The sequence below is a fragment of the Homo sapiens genome, chromosome 7 (assembly GCF_000001405.40).
Source record: "Homo sapiens chromosome 7, GRCh38.p14 Primary Assembly".
Taxonomy (NCBI): domain Eukaryota; kingdom Metazoa; phylum Chordata; class Mammalia; order Primates; family Hominidae; genus Homo; species Homo sapiens.
The window spans coordinates 80,315,348-80,328,115 of record NC_000007.14 but is presented as its reverse complement, the minus strand read 5'-3'; the positions used below and the strand labels follow the sequence as shown (position 1 = coordinate 80,328,115).

The window sequence follows — 12,768 nt, the reverse complement described above, 5'->3', positions numbered from 1 at the left end:
TTTTGTATAAGGTATAAGGAAGGAGTCCAGTTTCAATTTTCTGCAGATGGCTAGCCACTTTTCCCAGCACCATTTGTTAAATAGGGATTCCTTTTCCCACTGCTTGTTTTTGTCAGGTTTGTAGAAGATCAGATGGTTGTAGATGTGTGGTTTTATTTTTGAGTTCTCTATTCTGTTCCATTGGTCTATGTGCCTGTTTTTGTACCAGCACCATGCTGTTTTGGTTACTTTAGCACTGTAGTATAGTTTGAAGTTGGGTAGTGTGATGTCTCCAGCTTTGTTCTTTTTTCTTAGGATTGTCCTGGCTATATGAATCTTTTTTTGGTTCCATATGAATTAGTAAATAGTTTTTTTCTAATTCTGTGGAGAATGTCAGTGTTAATTTAATGGGAATAGCATTGAATCTATAAATTGCTTTGGGAAGTATGGCCATTTTCAAAGTATTAATTCTTCCTATCCATGAGCATGGAATGTTTTTCCATCTGCTGTGTTTTATCTGATTTCCTTGAGCAGCACCTTGTAGTTCTCCTTGGAAAGGCCTTCACTTCCCTTGTTAGCTGTATTCCTCTGTATTTTATTGTCTTTGAGGCAATTGTAAATTGGAGTTTATTCATGATTTGGCTCTCTGCTTGTCTGTTGTCGTGTAAAGGAATGCTTGTGATTTCTGCACATTGATTTTATATCCTGAGAATTTGCTGAAGTTGCTTATCAGCTTAAGAAGCTTTTGCGCTGAGACAATGGGGTTCTTTAGATATAGGATCATGTCGTCTGTAAACAAAGACAATTTGACTTCCTCTCTTCCTATTTGAATACCCTTTATTTCTTTCTCTTGCCTGATTGCCCTAGCCAGAACTTCCAATAATATGTTGAATAAGAGTAGTGAGAGAGGGCATCCTTGTCTTGTGCCAGTTTTCAAGGGGAATGCTTTTGGCTTTTGCCCATTCGATATGATATTGGCTGTGGGTTTGTCATAAATAGCTTTCATTATTTTGAAGTATGTTCCTTCAATACCTGGTTTATTGAGAGTTTTAAACATGAAGAGATGTTGAATTTTATTGAAGGCCTTTCTGTGACTATTGAGATAATCACATGGTTTTTGTCTTTAGTTCTATGTATGTGATGATTTATATTTATCGATTGGCTTATGTTGAACCAGCCTGGCAGCCCGGGTTGAAGCCAACTTGATCGTGGTAGATGAGCTTTTGATGTGCTGGTGGATTCTGTTTGCCAGTATTTTATTGAGGATTTTCACATCAATGATCATTAGGGATATTGGCCTGAAGTTTCATTGTATCCCTGCCAGGTTTTGGTATTAGGATAATGCTGGCCTCAAAATGTTAGGGAGGAGTCCACCCTTTTTAATTGTTTAGAGTAGTTTCAAAAGAAATGATACCAGCTCCTCTTTGTACCTCTGGTAGAATTCAGCTGTAAATCCATCTGGTCCTGGGCTTCTTTTGGTTGGTAGGCTATTTAGTACTGCCTCAATTTCAGAACTTGTTATTGGTCTATTCAGGGATTCGACTTCTTCCTGGTTCAGTCTTGGAAGGGTGTATGTGTCCAGGAATTTATCCATTTCTTCTAGATTTTCCAGTTTATTTGCATAGAGGTGTTTATAGTATTCTCTTATGATTGTATTTCTGTGGGGTTGATTTCTTCTTCGAAGTAATGGTTTTTAGAAAGCATATTTGTGATTCTTCCCTTTCATTCAAAATTTGAAGAGTATTTGCACAAAGTACTTGTTATGCCAAATGTTGAAGAGGAGAGAGCAGTTTATCTGAAAGAACTGTAAATTTTTGCATGTTTGAATTAAAAAAAGTTGATTTAATGTACAGTACACATCAAAATGCATAATGTTTTGCAAAGAGATAGTTCTTTTAGATCTTCGTACTTGCCCTAGATCTGTAAGATGTTTTATGTCGTTTCCCCCAACATTCTTTAGAATTGAAGTCGGTACAAAATTTCTAAAAGGTAATTTCATAGCATAAACAAAAAAACGTTTAAAATTTGATCAAAAAATTCTACTTCTAGTACTATATCATAAGGAAATAATTGCACATGTTGGCAAGGATATATTCAAGAGAATAGTCATTGTAGAGTTCTTTCATTAGTGAAAAATTAAGAACAACTCTAATATTCATTAATAGATGCTTAAGTGAAAAAAGTAATAAATCCACTATTTGAATTCTGTGTATTACTGAGAATGAAGACTTACATATCAAAAAGGAATGGAAATGTGTTCATGATAAAGGATTGAGTTATATGAAAGCAGATTTTGTTCCAACTTACAATTAAAATATGTGCATATTTTGTAGTTATGTATGTATGAGAAGTATGAAGACTCCACATCAAAAAGGTATTAGTTACTTGTCTCAGTGTTTTGATTATAGATGAGTTTTCTTCTTTTGCTTTATTTTCTAATTTTTTCTAATGAATGTATATTATTTGTGCAATATATATAACGTTAACAACAAAAGTTTTCCCTTTCTTTCTTTCTTTCTTTCTTTCTTTCTTTTCTTTTTCAATGCAGGATCTCACTCTATCACCCAGATTGGAGTGCAGTGGCACAATAATGATGCACTACCTTGATCTCCCAGGCTCAAGTGATCCTCCAGCCTCAGCCTCTCAAGTAGGTGCCACCATGCCCAGCTAATTTTTTTTTTTTTTGAGACAGGATCTCACTCTATTGTCCAGAATGGAGTGCAGTGGCATGATCATGGCTCACTGAAGCCTTGACCTTCCAGGCCCAGGTGACCCTCTCACTTCAGCCTCTCTGGTAGCTGGGACTACAGGCATGCACCACCACACCTGGCTTATTATTATTTATTTATTTATTTGGTAAAGATGGGGTTTGGCTGTATTGCCCAGACTGGTCTTGAACTCCTGTGTTCAAGTGATCTGCTCACCTCAGCCTCCCAAAATGCTGGCATTACAGGCATGAGCCACCATGCCCGGCCCTGATTTTTTAAAAAATTTTTGTAGAGACAGGGGTCTCACTATATTGCCCAGGTTGGTTTCAAACCCCTGGGCTCAAGCAATCCAAAGTGCTGGGATTACAGGCACGAGCCACTGCACCCAGCCCCTTTTCTGTGTTTTCAGTGTGTAAAAAGTTGCCAGCTGCTACAGATGTTTACAGAAGGTAGTTAAAAGAGACAAACTGTATGAATTAGAAATGTTCATTAAAACCTGCCGAGGCCTCACAAGATGAAGATTAAAAAAAAAAAATTTGTCCAAGCAAACTGCAAGATCACAAGCAAGATCCATGTCTTACCATTAGTATTACAAGCAAGATCTATGTCTTACCGTTAGTGTTAAGTAATCTGAAATGCCTTAAGGGTACTAAGGCAATCATATTAAAGAATGCTTTACTTTTTACTTAATTAGAGCCAGATTTTAATTATGGGGAAAAAGTAGGGTCATGGCTTTTCTCAGTACCAAGCTTCAGGAGGAGGGTTACATAATTTGGAAAACAGAATCTAAATGTTCTCTGTTTTCATTTATATAAGAAATTATAAAAATAAATAAATCAATAACCCAAAGAGGCCTCCATTGCTAAATAGATGCTGCTAACCTAAGATATACAACATAAAATCCTCATGGATGTTGCCCTTCTTGAAAAGTAGCTTTCCTGTTTTCCTGCAAATTTAGGAAATATCTGAAAGTCCCCATTGTGAATGAGGGTGCCTAATTGTCTGGGGCTTTTACCTTTGCAATTTCATCCTCCTAAGACATCATTTCCTTGAATCGTAGTCTTGGTTCCTACTGGGCCAAATTCCACTGGCATCAATCCAAATGCCACGAACATTAGAAACATTCACATGGATCCAACATTGTCTACATACTTTCTTAATTGGATAATTGTCATTCTGTACCTGGACTTTGATGTTGGCAAATTGCCATTGAATTTTTCTATAAGTATGTGTCCTCTGCTACCCATCTGTAAACTAGCTTCTGTGTTTCCATTGCGGTTATATTAATCACAGAACTCTATCACCAAGATCTAGCTCAATGCCATTACCATCTCACCATCTTACTAATATATTGGCTCAATGACCATTTTTCAGTGCCTCAAAAAACATTTAATCCATTTACATTGTTTCTCCTGCACAGAGACAATAGTTGAATCAATTTTAACAAATAAATTCAGAAGCAAAAAATTACATGGCATATCTTATTTCTAGTTTAAAACAACCAATACCAAAGTTATCAACCAAATACAAGACAGCAGACTACCTAATAGAAAATATATATTCTAAAGTCAGAAATTTTTTTTTCTAAAACAGAAACACAAGATTTCCCACTCTTCACCCCACTTTACTTTTACATAACAAAATTATTTCTTCCAAAGAGTCCTAAAGAATCTCTCTCCTTAGACTCTCTGTACAGCTGGTTCCCTTTGTCAAAGAAAAATGAGACCCTAACAATAGTTAAGGTGGTAAAAACAGGATTTACTTGGAAACTACTTCAACAGGGGAAAAGATATCTCAGTATAGAATTGGGCAAAATTATGAATACAAGGAAAAGTGGGAATTTATGGTTAAAGAGCGTGTAGTTGGTAGATGGAAAATTATTAAGAGGAACACATCAGAGGTAAAGATAGATTTTGGCTGAACCCACCTATTATGATTCTTGCTGAAGGCAGGCCAGGGGATCAGACATCAACTCAGGGATGGTATGGACGAAGAGTTTGGTCAGATTAGAGGGTAACTAGATATCAAGGGTGGGGGGTTCTGGTGAACTTACTTAGCAGAATTCTTGCTAAAATTAGGCTCTTGGAGGATATTCCCAAGGACAAGGCCTAGTGGGGCTCACAGCAGCCGACTAAAATTTGGTCCAGGGAAAAATCAATGTCAGTTCTTCCTCTTGTTAAAGGGAAGAAGATACATTCTTCTTTCCTTGGAACAATGTAAGTGCATTTCTTTTTTGGTTGCCTTTTATTCATTAAGGATTAGCTGAACCATCTCTTGGAAGCTGCTAGTAGAGGATATTTGCTGAATAGTGCTAACAGTCAGGAATACAATGAAAGGAATTTCTATGAAAATTAAAGTAAAACAAGGATAAGTAGTTGGAAACTTCGTTTGAGTCCAGGGACCAGCCAATTGAGAAAATTTCTAAATGTTTTTCTCAAGGACGAAAGTGGCAGTCCCACAGATGTCCTTGTCTGTGTTTTGAATGTCTTTGGTGATGGCATCAGGAGTTCTGATGAACTTTCTGAGTGGCTCACACAGAAGCAGGCACAAGGTTTGCCCGTACATGATCTATTGCAGTGATTTCTTCAAAGTTTATATTAAATCACCCAGCTTCAGAAAAGAGCAGTTTTATTTCTTAGTAACTCCAAGTCAGGAGGCTGGGAGAAAAATTGGAAACTTTAGTTTTCAGAATTGTAGCCACGTCAGAGGAAACCAGAAGAATTGAGAACCCACAAGGGTACACTATAGGTTTTTATCAATACATAAAATTTATCTCTACAGTTACTTCCATTTTGATTCTTGTTGACAAAATATGCCTAGTCTCATTAGATTTGGCCTGATTAATTACATATGTGCAGCAAAAATGGTACCTGATCACACATGCCTTTTTGAGTTTGTTTTGCTGAAAGTTTCATCAGGAATCTCAGATTAGACTTTTAGAAGTCTCTTGAGGCTAAGAAGCCAAGCCAAGAACTCACCAACAGACTTAACTTTGGACCTATAGATTTGGGTGAATTCCTCTCTTCTTGAGGTCCCCAAGATATTTCAATATTCCTGGTGCTGCCAGTAAATGACTTTCCTTATTCACCTCTGATGCTGGGAATCTTGTAACCCAGGTACCAGGGTAGCTTTTCAAAGAGACCATTGTAAATCTTGGCTTCATAAAGTCAACTTTAGTTCCTTAAACCAGATTCCATGCACATAATTCTCAAATATGGCATTCCAGTTAAAACCTTGGTAACATAACCAATGTTCCCAATTATGTCCTATTACAAGAAGAACAGATTCTTATTAAACTTATGCCAATAACGAATGGCCATGAAAATAAGAAAATTCAATGAGTTTCCAAATTCTGGAGGCATCAGTAGGGAGAAAGATAACTGTTCCATTTCTATTTACAAAAGTGTAGCAAGAGAAAAGGGTTCCTTAAATATGGAAAATAAAACATTTAAAAACAGCTATGTTCCAAAACAAAAACCATTCTGCTTGATCTTAGGTTTGCAGTTTCATTAAAACCTATCAATTTCTCCACTAATGTTTGGCAAATCCTTACTCAGTCCAGTGAAATGGTCTCAAAGTTGTTTAAGCAATGACATCAGGAATCATTCTGGGCAATAGCTGGTTACAAATGCTTTCAGAGAAGAATCAGAGTGAAACAAAAACTATACGGATGAGAAATATTTTATATGACCATGATTAAAGATTTTATAGGAATTAATTTGACAACTGGGTGCAGTGGCTCAGGCCTGTAATCCCAGCACTTTGGGAGACTGAGGAGGTGGGTATTGCTTGAGCTCAGGAATTGGAGACCAGCTTGGCCAACATGGCAAAACCCCATCTCTACAAAAAATACAAAAATTAGCCAGGCATGGTGGTGGACGCCTGTAATCCCAGCTACTCGGGAGGCTGAGTGGGAGGATTGCTTGAGCATGGGTGGTAAATGCTGCAGTGAGCTGAGATCACGCCACTGCACTCCAGCCTTGGCAACAAAGCGAGACTTCATCTCACAAAAAAAAAAAAAAGAAAAGAAAAGAAAAAAAGGAATTAATTTGAGAAGGAAATTTGGTTATTTCTGTTACATACAACATTTTTAAAAATAACGAATTATGACTGATGATAACATTATACCAGGAAATATGAATGGCAAAGGTAGTGACAAATTTCTATGAACTTTATAGAATTTCTGAAATATGTATATTAATAGTATTTACCCATATACATATAACATAGGAAAAGTGAAACATCGCTTCTTGTTTTACAATGTTCCCCATGCAATTTAACATATTAAATAAACCTAATTATTTTTAACATTTCTCTTTACAAGGGACCCACAAGTAAATCTCAGTCAGTTCTACAACAAGATTTCGTTTAGGATTTGATTTTGGGAAGGCAAAATTGTAAAAATGTAAAAAACCTTAACTCTTTTAAAACTGAGACATGTCAGTTCTCTTAATTAAAAGGCATGAGGGGCTTAACACCTGGGTGATGGGTTGATAAGTGCAGCAAACCACCATGGTACACGTTTACCTATGTAACAAACCTGCATGTCCTGCAAGTGTATTCCAGAACTTAGAATTAAATTAAATTAAAAAACAAAGAAAACATGATAATGGCCAAGCAAAGCGGCTCACATCTGTAATTCCAGCACTTAGGGAGGCAGAGGCGAGCAGATCACATGAGGCCAGGAGCTTGACACCAGCCTGACCAACATAGGGAAATCCCGTCTCTAATAAAAATACAAAAATTAGTCAGGCATGATGGTGCACGTCCTAGCTACTCGGCTACCTGGGAGGCTGAGGCACGAGAATTGTTTGAACCTGGGAGGCGGAGGTTGCAGTGAGCCGAGATCCAGCCACTGCACTCAAGCCTGGGCAACAGAGCAAGACTGTCTCAAAAAAAAAAAAAAAAAAAAAAAAAGACGTCATAAGACATAAAGCACAGCAATTCCGCACCACCCCCCAAAAAAAGCCTTTAACAATCTGTTACTAAGAACAGACCAATAATCCAAGAAAACTTTGTCATTTTAATTTTTCATCAATATGCTTTTGGTATTAAAGTTTTTTTAAAAAAACAAACTTATAAATAAATCCATTCAAATCTTTAGCCAATTTGACCACACATAAAATTCCTTTTTAAAAATTCCTTTACCACAAAACTTCTACAATTTTTATATCCATTAAAGATTTGCTTTCTCCTACATTTTCTTCTTTCTCATTCTGGAACAACGAGCCATTCTATTTTAGAATAAAAAACTTGTGTTTCATTTAACAAAAACACATTCTGCTTACTTCATACCTTTTTTAATCAAAAACACATCCCATTTTTCTTGCATATTTTGCATACCAAATTGTTTCTCTTCACCTTTATTGTTTCTGGTAGCTTTATTTCCAAATATTGATTATAATTTTTAACCATTAGTAACCTCCTTTTACAGAGAAAACTAGGAAGGATACATTGTGAATTGTCTGTCACATACAAGTATTCTGTAGCAGGCTAGCAAATTTATTAACATATTATTTCACTATTTTTGAAGGCATATGCTTTCTGATAGTATAATTTTTCATTAACAGACTCAGATGTATTTGATCTCTCTATATCATATAAAGATAAAAAGCTAAAAGCATATGGACTCAAACTTATGCTTAGTAGTGTGTGTTTCAGTACTTTATCCTACTTAGAAATTCTCAATGAATATCTATTGCATAACTCTAAGGCTGCAAGCCACCAAAAGGATTTTGGCAACTGTTTTTAGGCCGTCATACTATAAGAATAAACATAACTAGCCATCATTTCGAGTTGTTTCTCTGTTATTTTTACATTATTTGACTACTAAACCTAAGTAGAATAAAAATGTTTACTCACATATAATACTGAAAACTCAAAAGACTGTTCTTATTAAATCAACATATTAAACTAATCTTATTTACCAAAGATTTACTCAAGTCATGTGAATTTGAATTAGTTTCTATATTTCTAGGAGTTTAATGAGTATTCAATTTATACAAGTGCTCATTCATCTCTATGCCAAATTGAATAGAACTCCTTTAACAGATTTTATAAATTAATTTGGTAATACCATCCAGAGGTAAGAAAATGTTATGTGTATATAACATACATGTTTAGACATACATAAACATACAGACAGACAGACACAAAACAAAAATCTTATAGCTTTCATTCTAAAATTTTAGCCATGAGTTAAAGATACCAAGACAAAACTCACTGGTTTAAATGAATACTTTGCCCCTCTTTACTCCACTTTGTATTTTTATCTGAAATGTGTTTCTGACAGATGGAGCAATTTAACTTCACCTACTCAACATGAGGCCTAATGCTTTTTACCAATATCTGTAGGGGAGACATTTAAGATTTTTCATTTGCCCTAATATATAATCTGATGGAGGCTGTGGACTCAATTTTCTTTTTCCAATTATTAATAGCCCTTTTTCTGTCTTTCTCTTTCCAACCTCAGAAATTTGCTTTTGGAGGTCCAGAGACCCTTCAAAGTTCCCACTGAGGGCAGAGGGACTGAAGTTCAAGTGACTGGGGGGCTGAAGTGGGAAGTCAAAAGTCTGGCAGCGTGGACAGCGGGGATAGGGAAGGCAAAGATTTGAAGTGGACACACTGAAGGATTCAAGGGAGCTGATGGGATGGTCAAGGGTGGTACAAGGATAAAGGAGTTGTGAATGCAATGGGAGGGGTAGAGGGCTTAGAGAAGCCACCAGTGTCAGGAGAACTTAAGTTTCCCAAAGAGGCCACTGAAGCTCCATATTATCCTTAGTACAATCATGCTAACAAGAAAGAAAGCAGAGAGAGTTGGTGGAGCACAATTCAGCAGGGGTTCTAGAAGGGAGTTTCCAGTCAACTGAGAAGCTCCCATGTTCTTAAGTAATGGTACCTCTACACTTATGAATAGAGAAGACTGCAACTCTGATCTGGCTTCTGTTCTTGATCACAGGAGTTTTAACCAGTTCCATTTCTGAACTTGGCCAGTTCACCTCTCCTTAGGCAACCTGGTAGTCCCTGGCTCCTGAGAGGTCACCATATTGATGCCAAACTTAGTGCGGCACCCGATGAGCACAGCTCACTACAGCCCAGAACTCCTGGGCTCAAGCCCTCCTCCCACTTTAGCCTCCTGAATAGCTGGGATTCCAGGCATGCCCCACCACACACAGCCCAGGTTCTGTTTCTTGCAGAGACAAGTCTAGGATTCTAATTCAACTTCACTTTGCCCAGGACTCTAATACAGCTTCTTACAAACAGAAAAATCAAGGGCTCTACCCACAGCTTCTGAAGTATACTCACGATGTTAAGAATAGAAATCTGTCCTAACTGTGTGCTTCAAGGGACATCTGGAGCACTGGTTCAGAAGTCAGACTCATCAATGGATCCCTGGTTGGTCAGTCAGGAGTGAAAACAAAGACTTCAAATGTGCACATTTGGGTCCCAAGTGAGAAGTTCAGGAGTCCAAAGATGAATCTGATACTATCCAAGTTGTTTTACCATAAATGTTAAAGAAAAAACCAGAGACTGGTGGGAGTTAAAGCAGATAAAACAGATTTTACTCAAACACTATTGCAATAAGGAAAAAGACACCTCAGTATAGAAGTAGACTCAATTCAAAATACAAGGAAAAGTGAGAATTTATAGCCAAGGAGCAGGATGGAGCTCAGTGGATGGAAAACTATTAAGAGAAAACATCAGGGACAGGAGGACATTCTGGATATAGTGACCTAACAGGATTCTTGCTGAAGATAGGCCAGTGTGATCAGATATCACCTGCGGGATGATGGGGGATGAGGAATTTGGTCAGATATCAAGGGGAATTAGACATCAAGGATGGGGTATTTTGACTAAACCTACTTAGAGAGATTCTTGCTAAATTTGAGCTCTGGGAGGTTCCACACAAGGAGAGGCCCCACTGGGCTCAGAGGACCCGGTTTAAAAGTTGGTCAGGAATCTCTGTCACTTTCTTATCATTGGGCAAGTTTCCTAACTGAATTTGCCTCTCTGCTTATCAAAGATTCTCTTTGGGATCTCTTAAATGTTGATAAATGTGGGGAATGTGGCATGGTAAAGAATAACAGTGTTTATTGGGATTAATTTCAGGACCCTGATCTGATATATATCAAATATGGGAACTGGGTTCATCAAGTCCTCCAGAAAATAAGAGACAAAAGCCATTTTGAGATTAGTTTTATCTCTGTTTTGCTTTTTGGGTCTTTTCCTTTGGTATATGCTGCTTTACTTCTTTCTGTAGTCTAGCTTTCTCTTCTTCCTAATAAATCTCTGCTTGATCCAAAGTAGCAGCCTCAGTCTCTTTGTTAACTTACTTCAAAGTCTTTATCTCAACTCACATTATTGGGAGAGTTTATGACTAGTCTGGCCAAACAATGAATTAGTCAGTTATTTTTCCAATCACCTGTGGCTGACTGAGTGTTCCTAAGATCAGGAAATACAATGCATTTTATCTTAAGGGAGCTTTGCATACAGATCACAGCATTATGTGTCTCCTAAAAAGAAAATACGCATAATTTTCAATGAATGGACAATTATTCTAATTAGACATAAATACTGTATTCACTGATTTGGTCCCAGGACTGTGAACTTGCACGTGATACCCTTTTATTTTTACTTAAAAATTATTTATTTTTATAACATGATACATACACACAAAGGCAAATAGTATTATTATATAGGATGGTTCCCTGTCCTATGACTCCCAACTTCTCCTACTTTGCCTCCCCTGAGCCAACCAAATTTGACCTTCTAAATGTTTCTTTTGCATTTGTGTCTCTCAAGTGAAATGTGTGCAGACTGCTATTAATTTTACATATTAGCCACCGAGTACCTTTTATGACAAACAAGGATTTAATTTTCTTACATCAACAACATCTCCATTTCTCCTCTTTCTTGTACCCAGTGTGTATGTCTAATTAATTATCTCATAATTTTGGGTAAAATCAGTATTTGACGTTTCCATTATTATGCCTGTGAAAGTGTTCTTCAAAGCCGAGAATTGTAGTGCACTATGATTATATTTCCCTTCCTGGTTTTTCCTTTTCCTTGAGTAAATAATGACTTTGATTCTGTTTTCTATTGCTTCAGTTTCTTTTTATCCACTCCAAATTCTTGCCACAGTTTCCAATAATCTCTATAAGCAAATTTTCAAAAAGTCAACCTCATCAGGCTCTCTCATGATACTATTTTTTTTTCTTGGAGATATCCCTTCTGGAGACCACCATTTTAATGCTTTTAGACTGACCATTCTCTAGACCAAAGACACACGTGTCATATGGAAATAATTTTGCTGATATCCTTGGAATTTTCTTCACATTTCTCCTGGATTGGATTTCTGTTTCCTTAACCTCATAACATTGTTTTTCATAGATTTACTTTCAGTGATACATATGCTACAGTTACTATATCAGGTTAAAAAGGAGAGCACATTGAAAGAATGAAAAATAGTAGAACCACTTTAAGAAACAAGTTTGGCAGATTCCTATAAAGATATAATATATATATATATTTACCATACAACCTAGCAATTCTACTCCAAAATATTTACCCAAAAGAAATATATCCACAGAAAGACCAGCGTGTAAATGTTTTTAACAATTTTGTTCCTAACAACCAAAAACATGAAACCACCCAAATGTCCATCTCCAAGTGAATGAATAAACAAATTGTGAGGTGCCCATACAATGGAATACGGCTCAGCAAAAAGTAGAAATGAACTACTAACACCTGCAATAAAACCGATGAATTTCAAAAGCATTATACTAAGTGAAAGAAGCCAAACACAAAAGGCTATGTACTGTATGCTTCCATTTATATGACATTCTGATAAAAGCAAAACTACAGGGACAGAAATCCGAGTAGCTGTTGCCAAGGGGCTTAAGGTGGGCAAAAAAGACTGACTACTAAATGGCTTGAGAGAAGATTTTTGGATGATGGAAATGTTTTACATTATGATTGGGTGGTAGTTATATAATTGCCCAAACTCGTCTCACTGCACACCTTAAAAGGATGAATTTTACTGTATGTAAATTATACCTCAATAAACCTGACTATAACAAAT

At 36.7% G+C, this 12,768-nt stretch overlaps 1 pseudogene; it reads right to left on the bottom strand.

Moving 5' to 3' along the window:
- Positions 9,572 to 9,863, bottom strand: RN7SL35P (RNA, 7SL, cytoplasmic 35, pseudogene; annotated as a pseudogene).